Source organism: Homo sapiens, chromosome 1 (genome assembly GCF_000001405.40).
Source record: "Homo sapiens chromosome 1, GRCh38.p14 Primary Assembly".
Lineage (NCBI taxonomy): Eukaryota > Metazoa > Chordata > Mammalia > Primates > Hominidae > Homo > Homo sapiens.
The window spans coordinates 147058346-147080354 of NC_000001.11; the positions used below are offsets into that span (position 1 = coordinate 147058346).

Genomic DNA, 22009 nt, shown 5'->3' on the forward strand with positions numbered 1-22009 from the left:
CCTATATATGGAAAATCCCAAATAATACAAATGCAAACACACATACATGCACATAGACACCAGACACACACACACACACACACACACACACACACACACACTCTGCTAGAGTTAGTAAGCTAATTCAGCAAACTTTCAGCAAACAATCACTTGTGTTAGCAATGAACAATCTGAGAAGAAAATTGACACAACGATTACATTTATAATAGCACTGGTAAGAATAATATGCCTGGGAATAAATTTGTTCAAGAAGGTGCAGTACTTGTACACAGACAACTACAGAACATTGCTCATGGAGATTAAGAAGGACCTAAATAAATGGAAAGACATATTTTGTCCATGGGTTGGAAGTTGTAACATGGTTAAGATAAAAATACAACTCAAAGCCATCCACAGATTCAATACAATCCTATCAAAAAGTGGCCTTTTTTACAAGAATGGCTAAGAAGAACTTCATATTCCTAAAAAATAGTGTGTCCCCTCAAAACAAAAGCAATCTTGAAACGCAAGGAGGAACATTTTCTATTCCAAAGGTCTTTAACTGCTCTCAGCAATACTTGGTAGTCTTCAATATACAGGCTTTCACATTTTTTTTCTTTTGTTTCTAGGCAGGATCTCACTCTTTCACCCAGCCTGGAGTACAGTGGCATGATCACAGCTCACTGCAGCATGGAATTCTCAGGCCTATGACATCCTAGAGCCTCATCCACTGAGTTCCTGGGACTACAGACTCACACCACCACACCTGGATAATTTTTCTGATTTTCAGTAGAGATGAGGGCTCACTATGTTGCCTAGGCTAGTTTCAAGCATCTGAGCTCAAGCGACTCTCCTGCCACGGCCTTCCAAAGTGTTGGTATTTGAAGCTGAGCCTGGCTGGCTTTCACATGTTTTCTATGTAGTTGATATTTCTTGATACTATTGTGAGCCTGGCTGGCTTTTACATCTTTGCTATGTAGTGAAACCCTGTCTCTACCAAAAAGACAAAAAGAAAGAGAGAGAGAAAGAAAGAAAGAAAGAAAGAAAGAAAGAAAGAAAGAAAGAAAGAAAGAAAGAAAGAGAAAGAAAGAAAAGAAAATTAAAGAAGAGAAAATCTCTGAACTAAACTTATTCCTCAAACTCTGACCTTACAAATCTTATGTGCCCATCTCTTCTGCCTAGAGGAAGAGGGGGGCATGAGGCAGAAGAGAGGTGCATGTGGGATTGTTGGGCCTAGATGGATTGAATGGTTTCAATTTCTGCTTTTGTGTCTCATGAAAGCAGTTCATTTTGGTTGTCATCTTCTCCAGGTTCTGAAGACGAGGCATTGATTGGCATCAATGTTCAAGATTTAGCAAGAGTAGGTGCCTTTTTTCAGACCCAGGAGTCAAAGCCCTGTAAGCTAAAAGCACAGGGATCAGTTAATAGGATGTTGGTACTGCAGGAAGTCCTATTTCTCTCTAACATGTCACAAATGAAAACACTGTGATTTGGTGTCCAGTAGTTACTGCCTGAAGCACTTCAAACCATTGTATTAAAGCGGTTAGGATACTCCTTGCATGTACCTAATTGCCAGCATTCTAATCACAGAACCATGACCAAAAGCATCAAAAATGTGACAGGGCCTATGCCAAACTTATCAAAGTAAGACAATTGACATTTCTCTCTATCATTTAACAAAATGGTAAATGCAAAGAACAGTTTTGGAAATTTACTATGGGGATAAATAATCTCCTTTTCTTTAAACACCATACAACAAAACAAGGACAAAGTGAGAATAAACACACAGTAATTTTTTCAGCTATGTTATTTATTTATTTATTTAGAGACAAAGTTTCCCTCTGTTGTCCAGGCTGTAGTGCAGTAGCAGGATCTTGGCTCACTGCAACTTCTACCCCCACCTACCAGGTTCAAGTGATTCTCATGCTTCAGCCTCCCAAGTAGCTGGGATTACAGGTGTGCACCACCAACCCCAGCAAATTTTTGTATTTTTAGTAGAGACAGCGTTTGGTAGTGTTGGCCAGGCTGGTCTCAAAATCCTGGCTTCAGGTGATCTACCCACCTTGGCCGCCCAAAATGCTGGGATTACAGGCATGAGCCACCACACCGGGCCCTCTTTTCAGCTATTTTAAAAGAGCATAACCACATATTTCCAAGATTGGTTTCTACTGATTACTGATTAGGTCACTTTCACCACTAAAATCTTCAAACCAGTGCAATATTTGTACATGTTTTGTTTTCAAGTACACACATGAAGGCCTAACAGTGATACAAGGCTTGGGTTCAAAAATCACTAGAAAGTCTCACATCATTTTTTTCATCACCACTTAATCCAAGTGAATGTCGCTTAATTTTAATAATGGTAAAAACAACTAGATTGAGAGAAATCCCAATTCATATAATTTCCTAAAGGACAAGGCCAATCTGTCCCGAACATGGAAACTTTGTACCCATATCAGAGCTTTTCTTCATTAAAGGAAAGGATCTGCAACCAATTCAAATGATTGGTCAAAACCAACTGAAGTTACTGATTGCATTGAATGTGTACCAAACCTCAGGCCATGGGTGCCTGAGTCCTAGTGTTCCTGTGACATCCCTTTGGGGTGGTGGAACTCTACCTTTCAATGATGGGAAGTCTTGGGAAAGAGCAACTCTCCTCTCCTTGTCTAGTATAGGTAGCTTTTGTGTCAAACTCTACTCAGCAGGTGACCTATACCTGGGACCAAGGGTAAGAAGGGTTCCTTCCTCCAACATCAGTGGCAGATGCCTTTTGTTTCATGTGAGAGAAGCAACCAGGTTTTGTGCCTGTACTTTGGTGGTGGCCAATCATGACCTATATGCCTATACCACTGAGGGAAGCTCAAGAAATTCTCTTTTGCCTCCCTCTCTCTCTCTCTCTCTCTCTCTCCCCCTCTCCCTCTCCCTCTCCCTCACCCTCTCCCTCTCCCTCTCCCTCTCCCTCTCCCTCTCCCTCTCCCTCTCCCTCTTTGTACAGTCTCCCTCTGATGCTGAGCTGAGGCTGGACTACTGCCGCCATCTCGACTCACTGCAACCTCCCTGCCTGATTCTCCTGCCTCAGCCTGCCAAGTGCCTGGGATTGCAGGTGCGCACCGCCACGCCTGACTGGTTTTCGTATTTTTTGGTGGAGATGGGGTTTAGCCGTGTTGGCCGGGCTGGTCTCCAGCTCCTGACCGCGAGTGATCTGCCAGCCTCAGCCTCCCGAGTTGCCGGGATTGCAAATGGAGTCTTGCTCACTCAGTGCTCAATGTTGCCCAGGCTGGAGTGCAGTGGCGTGATCTCGGCTCGCTACAACCTCCACCTCCCAGCCGCCTGCCTTGGCCTCTCAAAGTGCCGAGATTGCAGCCTCTGCCCGGCCGCCACCCCGTCTAGGAAGTCAGGAGCGTCTCTGCCTGGCCGCCCATCGTCTGGGATGTGAGGAGCCCCTCTGCCCGGCCGCCCACTCTGGGAAGTGAGGAGCGCCTCTTCCCGGCTGTCATCCCCTCTAGGAAGTGAGGAGCGTCACTGCCCGGCCGCCCATCATCTGGGATGTGGGGAGCGCCTCTGCCCTGCCGCCCCGTCTGAGATGTGAAGAGTGCCTCTGCCTGGCTGCAACCCCATCTGGGAACTGAGGAGTGTCTCTGCCCTGCAGCCACCCCGTCTGGGAGGTGAGGAGCGTCTCTGACCGGCCGCCCCATCTGAGAAGTGAGGAGCCCCTCCGCCCGGCAGCCACCCCGTCTGAGAAGTGAGGAGCCCCTCCACCTGGCAGCTGCCCCGTCTGGGAAGTGAGGAGTGTCTCCGCCCTGCCAGCCGCCCCGTCCGGGAGGTGGGGGGCAGCCCCCGCCCGGCCAGCTGTGGCGTCTGGGAGGTGGGGGGCACCTCTGCCTGGCCGCCCCGTCTGGGAAGTGAGGAGCCCCTCTGCCCCACCGCCACCCCATCTGGGAGGTGTACCCAATAACTCATTGAGAAAGGGCCATGATGACGATGGCGGTTTTGTCGAATAGAAAAGGGGGAAATGTGGGGAAAAGAAAGAGAGATCAGATTGTCACTGTGTCTGTGTAGAAAGAAGTAGACATAGGAGACTCCATTTTGTTCTGTACTAAGAAAAATTCTTCTGCCTTGGGATCCTGTTGATCTGTGACCTTACCCCCAACCCCATGCTCTCTGAAACATGTGCTGTGTCCACTAAGGGTTAAATGGATTAAGGGAGGTGCAAGATGTGCTTTATTAAACAGATGCTTGAAGGCAGCATGCTCCTTAAGAGTCATCACCACTCCCTAATCTCAAGTACCCAGGGACACAAACACTGTGGAAGGCGGCAGGGCCCTCTGCCTAGGAAAACCAGAGACCTTTGTTCACATGTTTATCTGCTGACCTTCCCTCCACTATTGTCCTATGACCCTGCCAAATCCCCCTCTCCGAGAAACACCCAAGAATGATCAATAAATACTAAAAAAATTAAAGAAAAAAAAGAAAGAATGAACATATCCTTAACAGGGGCTTGATTAAAATAAGAAATAAAAGGATGTATCTCTATAATGAAAATAAATAAATAAATAAATAAAATAAATAAAAAGACATGACAACTAAAAACCCTCTCAATTACCTTCTCTCCTCCTTTCCCTTCCTTCCTTCCTTCGTTCTTCTCTCCCTCCCTCTTTCCATTCTTCTCCATTTACAAAAAAATAAAAAAATAAAAAATAAAAAAAATAAAAACATTATCTTCAAAAAACAAAACAAAACAAAAAAAGAAATTCTCTTTCCCTGCGACATGTTTCTTGTTAGCACTCAGGAAATGTGGGAGGAAAAAACTTGGCAAATGGGCAAAAACATGCTACATATCTGGGACTCACATAGATTCTGTCACAATAGTTCACACTTGACCTTTAAGAAATGATGAAAACTTCAGTGATTTTCTCCAATCAACATTTATGGCTGCCATATTTTTCTTCCATTATCTGGAAGGAAACTGCTTCATTTGTTTGTCCTTCTTTGGTGGGGGTTCTCATGCTTTGGACTTCAGTTGATCTAGTGGCCTTCAAACTTCACCTCTCTGGTGGGATCAAAACAAATATGATTTTGCAGACCAGACAGCTTTCTCTTGTCATTAGAGTGGAACAACTGTCTCTTTCAGCTTTCTATGTCGTAAACAACTGTAGAATCTATTTTATAAATTCTTTATCTTCTCTATTTCTAGACTAATTTCTCTTCAGGATAGTACACAAATTCTGTTAGCTGATCACTTTTTTTGAGGCTATGAGATAGAAATAATGAGCACCTTGAAGATCCCTGCAAAGGAGCATATTCATTTGGTGCTCAAGGGAAACCTGGGCCCAGACCCGTACTGAAACTCATAACTGTCACCCACAGCTCTAGTTAAATTTTTTTTTTTTTTTTTTTGAGATGGAGTCTCACTCTGTCACCCAGGCTGGAGTACAGTGGTGTGATCTAGGCTCACTGCAAGCTCCACCACCTGGGTTCACGCTAGCTCTAGTTAAATTTTTACAATGAGGCTACCTCTTCTCAATAAGCATACTAGTCTTAAAACAAGTTTGAGATAGGGACTATCTTAAAATAGGCTTCCCGGAGGCTGGAGCCAAGATAGCCAAATAGGAACAGCTCCGGTTTACAGCTCCCAGCGTGAGCGTCACAGAAGATGGGTGATTTCTGCATTTCCATCTGAGGTATTGGGTTCAACTCACTAGGGAGTGCCAGACAGTGGGTGTAGGACAGTGAGTGCAGCACACTGTGAACGAGGTGGAGCAGGGCGAGGCACTGCCTCATTTGGGAAGTGCAAGGGGTCAGGGAGATCACTTTCCTAGTCAAAGAAAGGGGTGACAGACGGCACCTGGAAAATCGGGTCACTCCCACCCTAATACTGAGCTTTTCCAATGGGCTTAAAAAATGGCACACCAGGAGATTGTATCCTGCACCTGGCTCAGAGGGTCCTACACCCACAGAGTCTCACTGATTGCTAGCACAGCAGTCTGAGATCAAACTGCAATGCAGCAACAAGGCTGGGGGAGGGGCGCCTGCCATTGCCCAGGCTTGATTAGGTAAACAAAGCAACTGGGAAGCTTGAACTGGATGGAGCCCACCACAGCTCAAGGAGGCCTGCCTGCCTCTGTAGGCTCCACCTCTGGGGGCAGGGCACAGACAAACATAAAGACAGCAGTAACTCCTGCAGACTTAAATGTCCCTGTCTGACAGCTTTGAAGAGAGTAGTGGTTCTCCCAGCACACAGCTGGAGATCTGAGAATGGGCAGACTGCCTCCTCAAGTGGGTCCCTGACCCCCGAGCAGCCTAACTGGGAGGCACCCCCCAGTAGGGGCAGACTGACACCTCACACGGCCAGGTACTCCTCTGAGAAAAAACTTCCAGAGGAATGATCAGGCAGCAGCATTTGTGGTTCACCAAGATCCACTGTTCTACAGCCACCGCTGTTCTGCAGCCACCGCTGCTGATACCCAGGCAAACAGGGTCTGGAGTGGACCTCTAGCAAACTCCAACAGACCTGCAGCTGAGGGTCATGTCTGTTAGAAGGAAAACTAACAAACGGAAAGGACATCCACACCAAAAACCCTTCTGTATGTCACCATAATCAAAGACCAAAAGTAGATAAAACCACAAAGATGGGGAAAAAACAGAACAGAAAAACTGGAAACTCTAAAAAGCAGAGTGCCTCTCCTCCTCCAAAGGAATGCACCTCCTCACCAGCAACAGAACAAAGCTGGATGGAGAATGACTTTGACGAGTCGAGAGAAGGCTCCAAATGATCAAACTACTCTGAACTACAGGAGGAAATTCAAACCAATGGCAAACAAGTTTAAAACTGTGAAAAAAAATTAGACGAATGGATAACTAGAATAACCAATGCAGATAAGTCCTTAAAGGAGCTGATGGAGCTGAAAGCCAAGGCTCCAGAACTACATGAAGAATGCAGAAGCCCCAGGAGCTAATGTGATCAACTGGAAGAAAGGGTATCAGCGACGCAAGATGAAATGAATGAAATGAAGTGAGAAGGGAAGTTTAGAGAAAAAAGAATAAAAAGAAATGAACAAAGCCTCCCAGAAATATGGGACTATGTGAAAAGACCAAATCTATGTCTGATTGGTGTACCTAAAAGTGACGGGGAGAATGGAAACATTTTGGAAAACACTCTGCAGGATATTATCCAGGAGAACTTCCCCAATCTAGCAAGGCAGGCCAACATTCAGATTCAGGAAATACAGAGAATGCCACAAAGATACTCCTCGAGAAGGGCAACTCCAAGACACATAATTGTCAGATTCACCAAAGTTGAAATGAAGGAAAAAATGTTAAGGGCAGCCAGAGAGAAAGGTCAGGTTACCCACAAAGGGAAGCCCGTCAGACTAACGGCGGATCTCTCGGGAGAAACTCTACAAGCCAAAGAGAGTGGGAGCCAATATTCAACATTCTTCAAGAAAATAATTTTCAACCCAGAATTTCATATCCAGCCAAACTAAGCTTCATAAGTGAAGGAGACATAAAATACTTTACAGACAAGCAAATGCTGAGAGATTTTGTCACCACCAGGCCTGCCCTAAAAGAGCTCCTGAAGGAAGCACTAAACATGGAAAGGAACAACCAGTACCAGCCACTGCAAAAACATGGCAAAATGTAAAGACCATCAAGGCTAGGAAGAAACTGCATCAACTAACGAGCAAAATAACGAGCTAACATCATAATCACCAGACAAAATTCACATGTAACAATATTAACTTTAAATGTAAATGGGCTAAATGCTACAATTAAAAGACACAAACTGGCAAATTGGATAAAGAGTGAAGACCCCTCAGTGTGCTGTATTCAGGAACCCCTTCTCACATGCAGAGACACACATAGGCTCAAAATAAAGGGATGGAGGAAGATCTACCAAGCAAATGGAAAACAAAAAAAGGCAGGGGTTGCAATCCTAGTCTCTGATAAAACAGACTTTAAACCAACAAAGATCAAAAGAGACAAAGAAGACCATTAAATAATGGTAAAGGGATTAATTCAACAAGAAGACCTAACTATCCTAAATATATATGCACCCAATACAGGAGCACCCAGATTCATAAAGAAAGTCCATAGTGACCTACAAAGAGACTTAGACTCCCACACAATAAAATAGGAGACTTTAACACCCCACTGTCAACATTAGACAGATCAATGAGACAGAAAGTTAACAAGGATACCCGGGAATTGAACTCAGCTCTGCACCAAGCAGACCTAATAGACATCTACAGAACTCTCCACCCCAAATCAACAGAATATACATTTTTTTAGCACCACACCACACCTATTCCAAAATTGACCACATAGTAGGAAGTAAAGCTCTCCTCAGCAAATGTAAAAGAAGAGAAATTATAACAAACTGTTTCTCAGACCACAGTGCAATCAAACTATAACTCAGGATTAAGAAACCCACTCAAAACCGCTCAACTACATGGAAACTGAACAACCTGCTCCTGAATGACTACTGGGTACTTAACAAAATGAAGGCAGAAATAAAGATGTTCTTTGAAACCAACGAGAACAAAGACACAACATACCAGAATCTCTGGGACACATTCAAAGCAGTGTGTAGAGGGAAATTTATAGCACTAAATGCCCACAAGAGAAAGCAGGAAAGATCCAAAATTGACACCCTAACATCACAATTAAAAGAACTAGAAAAGCAAGAGCAAACACATTCAAAAGCTAGCAGAAGGCAAGAAATAACTAAAATCAGAGCAGAACTGAAGGAAATTGAGACACAAAAAACCCTTCAAAAAATTAATGAATCCAGGAGCTGGTTTTTTGAAAAGATCAACAAAATCGATAGACTGCTAGCAAGACTAGTAAAGAAGAAAAGAGAGAGGAATCAAATAGATGCAATAAAAAATGATAAAGGGGATATCACCACCAATCCCACAGAAATACAAACTACCATCAGAGAATACTACAAACACCTCTATGCAAATAAACTAGAAAATCTAGAAGAAATGGATAAATTCCTCAACACATACACCCTCCCAAGACTAAACCAGGAAGAAGTTGAATCTCTGAATAGACCAATAACAGGATCTGAAATTGTGGCAATAATCAATAGCTTACCAACCAAAAAAAGTCCAGGACCAGATGGATTCACAGCCGAATTCTACCAGAGGTACAAGGAGGAACTGGTACCATTCCTTCTGAAACTATTCCAATCAACAGAAAAAGAGGGAATCCTCCCTAACTCATTTTATGAGGCCAGCATCATCCTGATACGAAGGCCTGGCAGAGACACAACAAAAATAGAGAATTTTAGACCAATATCCTTGATGAACATTGATGAAAAAATCCTCAATAAAATACTGGCAAACTGAATCCAGCAGCACATCAAAAAGCTTATCCACCATGATCAAGCGGGCTTCATCCCTGGGATGCAATGCTGGTTCAACATACGCAAATCAATAAATGTAATCCAGCATATAAACAGAGCCAAAGACAAAAACCACATGATTATCTCAATAGATGCAGAAAAAGCCTTTGACAAAATTCAACAACCCTTCATGCTAAAAACTCTCAATAAATTAGGTATTGATGGGACGTATCTCAAAATAATAAGAGCTATCTATGACAAACCCACAGCCAATATCATACTGAATGGGCAAAAACTGGAAGTATTCCCTTTGAAAACTGGCACAAGACAGGGATGTCCTCTGTCACCACTGCTATTCAACATAGTGTTGGAAGTTCTGGCCAGGGCAATTAGGCAGGAGAAGGAAATAAAGGGTATTCAATTAGGAAAAGAGGAAGTCAAATTGTCCCTGTTTGCACATGACATGATTGTATATCTAGAAAACCCCATTGTCTCAGCCCAAAATCTCCTTAAGCTGATAAGCAACTTCAGCAAAGTCTTAGGATACAAAATCAATGTACAAAAATCACAAGCATTCTTATACACCAATAACAGACAAACAGAGACCCAAATCATGAGTGAACTCCCATTCACAATTGCTTCAAAGAGAATAAAATACCTAGGAATCCAACTTACAAGGGATGTGAAGGACCTCTTCAAGGAGAACTACAAACCATTGCTCAAGGAAATAAAAGAGGATACAAACAAATGGAAGAACATTCCATGCTCATGGGTAGGAAGAATCAATATCGTGAAAATGGCCATACTGCCCAAGGTAATTTATAGATTCAATGTCATCCCCATCAAGCTACCAATGGCTTTCTTCACAGAATTGGGAAAAACTACTTTAAAGTTCACATGGAACCAAAAAAGAGCCTGCATTGCCAAGTCAATCCTAAGCAAAAAGAACAAAGCCAGAGGCGTCACGCTACCTGACTTCAAACTATACTACAAGGCTACAGTAACCAAAACAGAATGGTACTGGTACCAAAACAGACATATAGATCAATGGAACAGAACAGAGCCCTCAGAAATAATGCCGCATATCTACAACCATCTGATCTTTGACAAACCTGAGAAAAACAAGAAATGGGGAAAGGATTCCCTATTTAATAAATGGTGCTGGGAAAACTGGCTAGCCATATGTACAAAGCTGAAACTGGATCCCTTCCTTACACCTTATACAAAAGTTAACTCAAGATGGATTAAAGACTTACATGTTAGACCTAAAACCATAAAAAACCTAGAAGAAAACCTAGGCAATACCATTCAGGACATAGGCATGGGCAAGGACTTCATGTCTAAAACACCAAAAGCCATGGCAACAAAAGCCAAAATTGACAAATGGGATTTAATTAAGCTAAAGAGCTTCTGCACAGCAAAAGAAACTACCATCAGAGTGAACAGGAAACCTACAGAATGGGAGAAAATTTTTGCAAACTACTCATCTGACAAAGGGCTAATATCCAGAATCTACAATGAACTCAAACAAATTTACAAGAAAAAAACAACCCCATCAAAAAGTGGGTGAAGGATATGAACAGACACTTCTCAAAAGAAGACATTTATGCAGCCGAAAAACACATGAAAAAATGCTCATCATCACTGGCCATCAGAGAAATGCAAATCAAAATCACAATGAGATACCATCTCACACCAGTTAGGATGGCGATCATTAAAAAGTCAGGAAACAACAGGTGCTGGAGAGGAAGTGGAGAAATAGAATCACTTTTACACTGTTGATGGGACTGTAAACTAGTTCAACCATTGTGGAAGTCAGTGTGGCGATTCCTCAGGGATCTAGAACTAGAAATACCATTTGACCCAGCCATCCCATTACTGGGTATATACCCAAAGGATTATAAATCATGCTGCTATAAAGACACATGCACACGTATGTTTATTGTGGCACTATTCACAATAGCAAAGACTTGGAACCAACCCAAATGTCCAACAATGATAGACTGGATTAAGAAAGTGTGGCATATATACACCATGAAATACTATGCAGCCATAAAAAGTGAAGAGTTCATGTCCTTTGTAGGGACATGTATGAAACTGGAAACCATCATTCTCAGCAAACTATCGCAAGGACAAAAAACCAAACACCACATGTTCTCACTCATAGGTGGGAATTGAACAATGGGAACACATGGACACAGGAAGGGGAACATCACGCTTCGGGGACTGTTGTGAGGTGGGGGGAAGCAGGAGGGATAGCATTAGGAGATATATGTAATGCTAAATGACGAGTTAATGGGTGCAGCACACCAACATGGCACACATATACATATGTAACAAACCTGCACATTGTGCACATGTACCCTAAAATTTAAAATATAATAATAATAAAATTAAAAAAAATAGGCTTCCCAAGAGGCTAAGATTTGCTGCAACTCCAGTTTGTGGTCAAATGCAGACCAGCAGAGTACAGACGGCATTGTTGGCCCAGGAGAAGGCAACAATACAGGGAGATGCCACATTTTTTATCAACCTCCTAACAATTATCTCAATGAATATTCAAATTGGTGATTGAAGTACTTGTTTCTCCAAGCAGGTGATAGGCAAAATTGGAAAAGTTGCCTTGCTTGTATAAATAATTGTGTGCTCAGATTGAATTTGAGGGTATACAGGTGCAGCCTCCAGTGGAAAATATTCTAAGAACAGGATGTGGGTAGAGGATGCAATTATGGAACTTCATATCTTCACCACCTTTCTCTTCTTTCTTCCTATTTTGACTAGTCTTGTAATCCTAGCCTCATGCATCAATATACATACAACTAAGAGAGGCAATATCAATGCAAAAGACACAATATCTATACAACGAAATTAGATGGTGCCTATTGCTAAAGGTACTTTAACTTCACATCATATAGCCCAATTAGGTGAATGCCGCCCACCTACCAAAGGTATTAGTCAGCTCAGGCTGCCACAGAAAGATAACAAAGTTTTCGTGGCTTAACAATAGACATTTTCTCAAAGTTCTGGAGGCCAGAAGTTCTTCTTGAGTCTTTTGTGAGGTTGGATGTGCTAGCAGGGTTGGTTTCTGGGGAGGCCTCTCTTCCTGGCTTGCAGAAAGCCACTTTCTTGCTGTGTCCTCCCATAGTCTTTCCTCTGTGCCTGCGTGGAGAAAGAGATTCTTTGATGCCCTTCCTCCTCCTATATGGACACCATTCCCACCAGATTAGGGGCCCACTTGTATGACCTCATTAACATTAATTACCACATTAAAAACCCTATCTCAAAATACAGTCAACTTGGCGGTTAAGTTTTCAACATATGAACTCACAGGGAAACACTTCAGTCTATAACATCAAGCAATACAGATGATCCTAAGATCCTCTACCTATTAAGTCCTGTGACATTTGCCTGGTGGTGCAGCCAGAAATAAGTTGTTACCAAGGCTGCTATTATTGCTAATTCTATGATTAGGAAAGCACACCTGAACTGGTTTGCCTGCCATATAGGAAAGAGTGCAGATCAAACAGGTATGAAATAAAAATAGGGGAAAATGGTAGCAAACAAAACAGTGCTCTTAAGTGAGTCATGAATCTAGGAAGGACTGAAATCATGCAATTTCAAGGAAATCCTATTGTCTTTATTGGGAGAAATGACTTGCCAAATTTCCTAAACTAGGGAGAAAAGGGTGGTGTGGATTAAGGTCCACACCTGACAGTTCAAGATAACTTGAGTTCTTGGCTAATCAGCTATATGGGGTGAGAGACAGATCAGCAGTCAAAGAAAACTCTAAGATTTCTGGATTGAGTGTACGTAAGGATGGAGTTTCCATCAACTGAGGTGAGAAAACTGCAGGTGCTGTAGGTTGCAGGAGGAAGAAGAGAGATCAGTACCAGGCCTCAAAGCCTAGCTTGAAAGAGGTTTCCATTCCCCCATCTCCGTTTCTGCATCTCTTTGAGTCTTTTGTGAGGTTGGATGCAGAGGTGTTGGTGTTTGGCCACTTCTCCCCCTGGACATCTCTCTTCTCACCTCCTTTGACAGCCACATCTATGGTCTTGTCCTGATGACATCTCCCAGCACGATGTCGTTTTGCAAAGGTGATCTCAAAATCAGCTCTGAGCTGAAGCCAGGGTGAGGTCACCCACTCCTTGATTTGTGTGGCCTTGGTGGGCCCCAGGAGCACTTCACTACTTCTCAGGGGAGTAGGTCTTTTGTATGGAACTCTTCATCTGAGGGAAGCAGGGAGAAAATGTCCTGTGGGGAGGGAAGGGAGGGCTGTACCAGAGAGCCTAGGTGGGCAGATCTAGGCTCTCAATGCAAAGAACATTTACAACCTGAGAGGTTCTACTCAGTTACTATTGTTAATTTAGGATCTCATCAACGAAAATGGTATAGAAATTTGTTTTCTCATTGGTTACATGTGCACCTACATAATACCCTCGGTTTTGCCTCTTGGCTTAAAAGCCTACAATATTTAATAGATCTCTCTAGCCCTTTACAGAAAAATGTTTACTGAACTCTGCAGAGAACAATCCCGCATGCTTTACAGAAAGGGACACTCAGGAATCTCCTTTGCTAATTTTTTTGTGTTAGATGATTTTCCTGGCAAACAATAAATTCCCTTTCTTGGCTTGTAATGATTAATCTCTGGTTGGTTGTCACCTGCAATGAAACAATACATATGGGAACCTCAAAGTAGAAAAATCCTAGAAGAAAACCTAAGAAATACCATTCTTACTTTTTTTTTTTTTTTTGAGAGAGAGAGAGAGCGAACGGGTTCGAACCACTGACCTCCAAACTTGGAAGCAAGCACACCACCCGACTGCGACACACGAATGGACAGTCAACTGTCGCTCCCGCCTCACCATGCAGAGCACGCGCCCATCCAACACTAGGCAGAGCCACCGCCTTTTGTAGAACAATTGTGCAGGCTCCAAAGCCTCAGAAAACCGGAGAGGCGCATCTTGCTGGCTACGGTTGAAACCCGTGCATTGGGTGATTCCAAAGCTGGAAGGGCAGCGGAATGGCCTTAGCCCCGTCCTGCCCTTCGCAGGCGTCAGAGCCAGCGTCCCGGGAAACGCCCGGGTCCGCGACTTCCCAAAGGAAGCAGAACGCCCCGTGGACTCTAGTGATGGCTCTTTCCGTTCTTGGCTCCGCCTTCACCCGACTTTCTACGCCGCTTGGGCTCCCCTAGCTCAACTCGGCTTCGGTCGGTGCGGCGGGAGAGAGAAAGGGTGAAAAGCAGAAATACAGAGAGGCGGGAGAGAAGCAGAGGAGGTGCGGACCAGGACAGAGAGACCTCCTGAGAAAGGCTGGTGCAGGGAGACCGAGGCTGGTGCAGGGAGGCCCAGGCTGCAGTGGAGGAGATGAGAATTATTCTCAACCTGTATTAGGATTGGGAGGGAGGGAGGGAGGCGAAAGCAAAGCGGGCATGAAAGGGAGAAAAACGTGAACCCCCTGTGGCTGTCTGGGAACAAAGCCGCCTAATAATGGAAACCTATTGACGTCAAAACTGCTAGAGCAAGGTCAAGCATCACCGCTTGCCTTGTGGCCCGCCGTGATCGTATAGTGGTTAGTACTCTGCGTTGTGGCCGCAGCAACCTCGGTTCGAATCCGAGTCACGGCAAAGTTGCTCGTCTGGGTAGTCAGCTGATCCGTTTTGCTCCCCGCAACCAGGCGCGTCAGGGTAAGGCAGAAATGTATTCAGCTACAGTCTCTTCCAATAACTTTAGGGTTCCGTTTCAATTTCTAAATCTATGGCATATCAAATTCATCTCCTGACCAGAGCAAGCTTAGCATCTGCTAATGTCTTGATCCCCAGAAAACTTCTCTATAGTGTAAACACACTGGCAAGAGTTACTTCTCTGCTCTTCGACAGCTAGGGGCCCTGCGCCTCCCTCCATTTCTTCCCTACTCCTCTCTCCCTTGGTCTCTTTCTCTGTCCTTCTCTCTCTCCTCTGGTGCAGCTGAGAGTCCCAGAGACACCTGAAACAGAGAAGTGGGCAGGTCCAGTCTAATCTATGTCCAAGAACCCAGGTTCTGTTTTGGAAATCTACGTCGGCCCTTGCCTGACCTTGGTTAACTATCTTAAATTTTATGTGCCTCAACAATTTTCTATGGAAGGTTGGGCCACTTTGAGAACTCTGCCTTACACTGCTGTTGTCAGACATGCCTGGATTTAGTGACTATTCAATCAATAACATAATCACTAGAATTATAAAAATCATTGTCATTGTCTTCTGCCTTATTTGTGAACAATCACTCTCCTGATTGTTTTCACTTTACCTTTGCTTCTAGAACTTCATGCAGATGGAATCATGGTGCATCTACTCTGTTCTACATGCTTCTTTCTCTCTGCATAATGTCTCTGGCTCTATCCATTGCTTAGTGGAAGCAGAAGTTCATTCCTCTTTCATTGCTGAGTAGTATTCCATTACAGGGAAATAGCACAGGTTGTTTGCCATTCCCACCCCATCCCTACCCTGATAATGAGTGTTTGGGTATTGGCTATTCTGAATAAACCGGTATTGGCTATTCTGAATAAGCCTGCTTTGAACATTCTTCCCACAACAGATTTTGAGGGCATCTGTTTTCGTGTCCCTTGGGGAAAACCTAGGTGCCGAATTGCGGGTACCAAAGAGTGGGATATGTTCAAGTTCATAAAAACTGCAAAAACTTGTCCCAAAGTAGTTGTGCCATTTTACATTTCCACCAATGACGTGTGAGAGTTGTGGTTGTTCTTCATCTTCTCCAAGATTGGGTGTTTCCTCTCCTTATAAATTTAGCCATGCTACTGGGAGTTATAGTGGTGTCTCGATGTGGTTTTAATTTCAATTTTCCTGATAGCTAATCATATTGAGCGCTCTTTTATGTGCTTTGTTGACCATGTGTGTACCTTTTATTTTAAAGTATCTGTTCAAGTCTTTTACCCATCTAGCACATTTGGGTTTTTTTTTTTTTTTTTTTAATTACCAGTTAGGAAGATCTCACCACAGAGTTTGGAGGTCAGATAGGTTTTGTGACTATTTTCTCCTCATCTGAGGCTGGCTTGTTTCTTCATTTTCTTTATGGCGTCTTTTGATGAGAAGATATGGCTAATGTTCATGAAATCGAATTTATCAAGTCTTTCCCTTTTACATGTGTTCTTCGGTGCCCTGTTTAATAAATCTCATCTACCAACAAGTCACAAGTATCCTCGAAATGCTTTATACCTTTAACTTTTAAGTTTTGGTCTATAATGTTCCTTAAGTTACTTTCGAGTGTAGTGTGAGGAAGAAATAACCTTGTTGGTCTCCCTCTTCCCCCATATGAAAGTCCATTAGTTGAAACTATTTCCTTTGCCCCATTGAACTGCTTTTATTGAAAACCTATGGTCGGGCATGGTGCTTACACCTATAATCCCAGCACAGTGAGAGGCTGAGGCTGGTGAGTCACTTGAGCCCAGGAGTTGGAGATCAGTCGGGACAACATGGCGAAACCTCATGTCTACTAAAACGCGCCTGTAGTATGAGCTACCTAGGAGGCTGAGGCAGGAGGATCACTTCAGCCTGGGAAGCACAGTGAGACCCTTTCTCAGAAAACAAAACAAAATTAACAAACAAACAAAAAACCTATGGACCATATAGCTGTGGGTGAGTTTTGGGTCTCCCAAGGCAGTCTGTTGATGTATTTGTGTCTCCCAATGCCGCATGCACACGGCCTTGTCTGTAACAGCTTAGAGTGAGTCTGAAATTCAGGTTGTGCAAGTCCTCTGGTTTTGTTCTTTTTCACACAGCATAATAACCTTTGAAATAGGTCATAACTCATGTAACCATCACATAGATCAAGGTATGCTGTCACTTCATCTCTCTCATTTCAGTATGGGACACATGTCCTCGCTCACCTATGCTGATTGCCCTCCTGGGGCCAAGGATCCTCTCCTCTACCCTCTGAAGAGAATAAATCTCCAGTTGTCTGCAGGGAGGATGAACATGCAAAAAGTCCACAACACTCAGCACAGAGTCCAGATTTTGGTGGTGGGGTTGATGGGGAGGAAGCTCACATTTCAGGCCTTTCAAAATTGTAGGAAAAGTTTTCTTTATTTCTAACTGTGAAATGTACAAAGCTTTGGGTCATTCATAATTTCTTCTTCTTCTAGAAAGATCACAGGACACCTAATGTTTGTGTCCCCCCAAAATGCCTTGGTTGAAACTCTAACCTTCCTCCACCCACACCTGGAAAGTGTTAAAATTAGGAGGAGGGGCCTTTGGGAGGTAATTAGATCCAGAGAGTGGAGTCCTCCTGAGTGGGATTAGTGCCCCTATAAAAGGGACACTAGAGAGCTCTCTCCCCCTCTTTCAGCCACCCGCAGATACAATGGGAAGATGGCAGTCTATGACCAGGAAGAGGTTCCTCACCATAACCCTACCATGCTGGCACCTTGATCTTAGACTTCCAAACTCCAGAACTGTGAGAAATGTCTGCTGTGGATGAGCCACCCAGTTTATGGTACATTGTTATAGAAGCTCCAACTAAAACATAGATGGAGTCCCATGGAGGGTGTCTAATTTTTGATGCTGGTTGTTGAGTTCTTCGAGTGGGGTGTTGCAAATTAGAAACTGAGGGAGAGCTGACCTTTCCTGCATATGAAAGAAGAGAGTGGAAAGGAAGGGATACAGAATGGGGAAGAATAAGCTGGTACCAAAAAACTGATTTCAGGGTCTGGCACTTGAATGTCTGATTTTGGAGAAAGAGAAGACACTGGTAGGTGTAGCCAGAGAAGAAGACTTTCAGTAGAAACAGCAGATATTTAAAAGCCATTCGATTACGTCTTTCGCTTGTTTGTGTGTAGACCCTCTTTTCATATCTTTGTAAGTGTGGCACAGGTGAACTGGATGCATTTGTCCAATGTGTTTTTGGAATGCATGTGTAAATAAAAATGACTGTGTCATACTTCAAATATTTATCCTGGAACCTCCTAGACTCCCCTTAGGTTCTGCCAACAGGACATTGAAATAACAGGCCCGTCGTGGGGATTAATTTTCATTGTACATTATAGGAAGAGGGAGGAGGAGGAAGAATGGGACAGTCTCAACAACAGTTGCTATAGTCTTACCGAATATATGCTTCTCAACAGATCAGCCCTTAATTCAAATAAGAGCAGTTGGAACGACAAAAGGTGTTCAGTTGTACCCTTGGAATCCACAGAAATCCTGGGTAGGGAAGCTCGAGTACCACCAACTGGAAAGACAGGGATGCCTAGTAGCTGATTCGGGGCCCATTGTCGTAGGCTTTGTCCACTTTGCAAACTGGAGACAGGGACTCGACTCACCTTCTCCAGCCACTGGAGGACCGGGAGGACCTTCAGAGGAGGTGAGGTCGACTTCATGGTAACTTTAGATCCTGAAACCTCACAGGATTTTTCTTCTCTTCCCTTTGATCTCTCTTCCGCTAACCCAACGGGACAGGACTCGCCGCCTTTCTTTCCGGTCAGAAAGGAGTCCCTTCCGGACAGGACCGAAATGAGCAGCTTGTTTTCCCTACCTGTCCTTTTGGGCCTGGGCTTCTTGGGAGCTTAGGCTGACCGGAGACCTACCTCGGGGCGAGTGGGACCAGCAGGAGCCGGGAAGGGCGCGCGCACCGGGGTGGAGGTTGGGCGCCGGGGGTCGGGAACCACAGTCACACCCTCCTCTTCCCCGCGCGCCTCCCACCTGCCCCCTACGATGCCGAACGAAGTGGCCCCTAAGGCTTCTCTACAGGCCAAACCGAAAGAGGCCTGATGCTCCAGGAGGGGCGAGAGGATCCTCGGTGAGCGAACCCAGCCTTCTACCTGGCTGGCCCTGGTCAACAGGCTCAGAAGAGGCCGATTTGGAGGACAGAACAGAAGGAAAGACCTAAAGGTAGAAACTCATGATGTCGAGATGTTAAAAGCCTCAAATCCTAAGGTCCGACTGTGCCGGGGAGGGAGGGGGTCTTGAGCTGGATCGACCCCTGAGTCTTCATCTGGAGAGTCCTCTGCACAAGCTCAGAGAGCAGGACTAGGCGCACGAATTCTAGACAAGGGGCAACTTCGTCCTCACACGCCTCCCCCATCCCCGCTGGGACATTAGGCCACGACTGGGGGAAGCGGGGAGGGAGAATGTTAACCCCCTGTCATCTATCTAGTCAGCGGAGGCGAGGGATGCGGCTAAACACCTTACAATCCACCGAAGGGCCCCTCCCCCACCCCGTAATACCCATTCCGCGGAGGTGGAGAAACTCGCGTGTAGATCAATGCCCACGCACTTGGCCGATGGGAAATCACGAATTGGTGACCAGTTCGATCTTGGCCCTGAGGAAAAAACTCAAACGTCAGCGGGAACCCTTGGAGCTTTGCCCAGAGCATACGGAAGGGTGGCGTTGCAGTATAGCCTAAGATGGGAAAATGGCAGGTATTGCAGGTTGCAGGGAGACCAGCAGGGAGATCGGAGACCAGTTCAGGGCCCCGGAGCCTTCGTGGAAAGAGTTTCCCATCCAGCCCGTCTTGGTTTCCGCATATGTCTGAGTCCTTTATGATGTCGGGGATGCCAAGGTCTGAGTCTTTTATGATATTCGGGGTGCCCCGATCTCACCCTGGGAGCCTCCTCGCTCCTGCCTGCTCCTGGTTACCCAGTGCGCGGCTCTGGCCCGGTGACCCGCTACTGTCTCTCCATGCGCTGCCGCTTCACAAAGGCGCATCTCTAGGTCGGTGGTCAGGTTCTGCCCGGACGCTGCAACTGGCTCCGGGACTTGTGTCCTTGGTGAGCCTAGCGGAGTGCTGGGTGCGTCGCCTGCGTGCTCCTCTTTTGGAGAAAGGAGGGAGGGAACGGCCTTGTGAGACGACTCCAGGAGCGACCAGCGACCTCCACAAGTCCCAAGTCTTCCCAGCGCACAGGGAAACTGTCACTTACAGGGAAACTGTCGCTTCAGTGGCAAGAAGGTTGAAAAAGCCCCTCCTGTGCCTCCCTGGTGGTCTGGTGGCTAGAATTTAGCGCTTTCACCGCCGCAGCTCGGGTTGGATTACCAGTCAGGGAATTGTTTTGCACTGACTGCCTTCCCGCAGGAATCTTCCTTTACGCCGCTGTAAGCGGGCCTTCTCCAAGGGCCAGACGCAGAACAGTCTCCGCAGCGAGGTGCAAACCCTGGCGAAGGAGGGCAACTCCTGGTGGGCCACCTCTCATGACACAGCGCTCTTATTTATCTCCGTGTCTGTCATTCGCACAAGCGGCTTTAGAGAGCGACTGAGCGTCTCGCTCAGGTGTACACCGCTGTGCAGAGATGCCAGCCCTCCTGGAACTGCACCCAAGAAGCCCACCGTCTTTGCCGCCTCTGCCGTCCCGGAGGCGCCGATCGGGCTGAGCTGCGAATAACTAAGAGAGAGGCCAAGGCAAGTCGTGGCGTTTGTGCGTGCCACAAATTATCAGCTGACAGGGGACGGTCAGTGGAGCCTCCTCACCTCCGTTCGCGGGTAACGTGCTTCTTAGGCCTTCAGAAGAAGCGACTGGAGGCGATGCCCGCGAGGTTGGAAGTGGGGTGAGCGGCGGGTGAGGCCCTCCAGGACCGCTCGTTTGTAGACTGAGCGGTAAAGGGAGGCGATGTTTGCTGACCCAACAAAGACAGCACGTGGAGCAGGCACAAATGGAAAACTGTGGCCGGTGAACAGAAGGCAGGTGTGAAAATCACTAGGTCGTCAAAGCGATGGTACCGCAGTCAAATCCCGCAATGTCTGTCTACACTCTACCAAGCAATTGCGCACGTTTCCCCTTTTCCATTCAGTATTCCCAAGAGGGGTTCGGAGGAACCCCGCGTCCACTGTAAGCTCAGGGGGGAGCCGGAGCCAGGGAGGTGAAGTGCACAGACTGGACAGAGGCGGCGGGCAGAACCGCGGGGGTGAGAGGGCGCGGTGGCTGCGGAGCGGGAGCCGCTGTTGAAAGGAGGCCTGGGTTGTCCTGTGGGTGACTGTTGGTGGAATCTTTCGCGGAAAGCGTTTTGGAAGAATGGCGCGACGAGCGAGCAGAGGGGAAGGTGGTGACCCTGAGCGCTCGGCTAGGGGAGAGGAGGCTGTGCTGTTTCTCCTCTTCCCTTACCTGGCGGGGGACAGACCGTGGTCAGGAAGGGGGTTCTCCCTGGTTGAGGCTAGTCCACCGCACTCTGGCTGCGCTCACCCCTGCGATTTCCCCACACGCGGGGCCCTAGTCTGCGGTGGTGTTCGTGCTACCCCGGGGCTGGGTTCGCGCACGCTCCTGACCTGCCTTGGCTCACGGCCAACGCGGATATCGCCGCCAGAGACCCTTCGCCGCCCTCCCAGGGCTCCTGAGGGCGCTTCCTTGGTGTTCTCACTGAAGCTCTCGAACAGACAGATGTGAGCTCTCTGTCTTTTACACGCTGAATTTGGCTATTGGCAAAAAAGCCCTGACCCAGAGCTTGGGTCTCCTTCCGACCTGCACACGACTCCCCGACTCCCGCCTCCAAGCGCGGCTCTTGGCTCGCTGGCGGGCAGCGTCCACAGAGTGTGGAACCGCCGCAGCCGCAGCTCCCGCCCGCTGGCGGGCAGACACTAGCAGGAGAAAGGACACAAGGCCTGCGTGGTGGGAAAGCATGGGAGACCTCGCTTTCCCACCGGACGAGAAGGTCTCCCTGCAGTCTTTGGACACCAGATGGATGGAGGCACCCCTTCTAGGAACAAGG

The 22009-nt window shown here is 46.0% G+C and overlaps 1 non-coding gene and 2 pseudogenes across 1 annotated transcript, besides 2 other annotated features; all 3 read left to right on the plus strand.

The window, feature by feature from the left end:
- The first annotated feature begins 14879 nt into the window (after positions 1–14879).
- On the plus strand, positions 14880–14951 carry TRH-GTG1-2 (tRNA-His (anticodon GTG) 1-2). Its single transcript has one exon. It is a non-coding gene; the product is annotated as a tRNA-His (tRNA).
- Positions 18487–18687: a silencer, noted in NCBI's record as "peak400 fragment used in MPRA reporter construct". NCBI's record gives its function as "represses an SCP1 promoter by STARR-seq MPRAs in K562 erythroleukemia cells {active_cell/tissue: K562}" and the evidence as "EXISTENCE:reporter gene assay evidence [ECO:0000049][PMID:32103011]".
- Positions 20178–20884: an enhancer, noted in NCBI's record as "H3K4me1 hESC enhancer chr1:146550071-146550778 (GRCh37/hg19 assembly coordinates)". NCBI's record gives its function as "activates a minimal SCP1, AML or CMV promoter by ChIP-STARR-seq in naive H9 embryonic stem cells {active_cell/tissue: H9 hESC(naive)}" and the evidence as "EXISTENCE:reporter gene assay evidence [ECO:0000049][PMID:30033119]".
- TRE-TTC14-1 (tRNA-Glu (anticodon TTC) 14-1) lies at positions 20285–20356 on the plus strand (annotated as a pseudogene).
- On the plus strand, positions 21401–21525 carry RNU1-151P (RNA, U1 small nuclear 151, pseudogene; annotated as a pseudogene).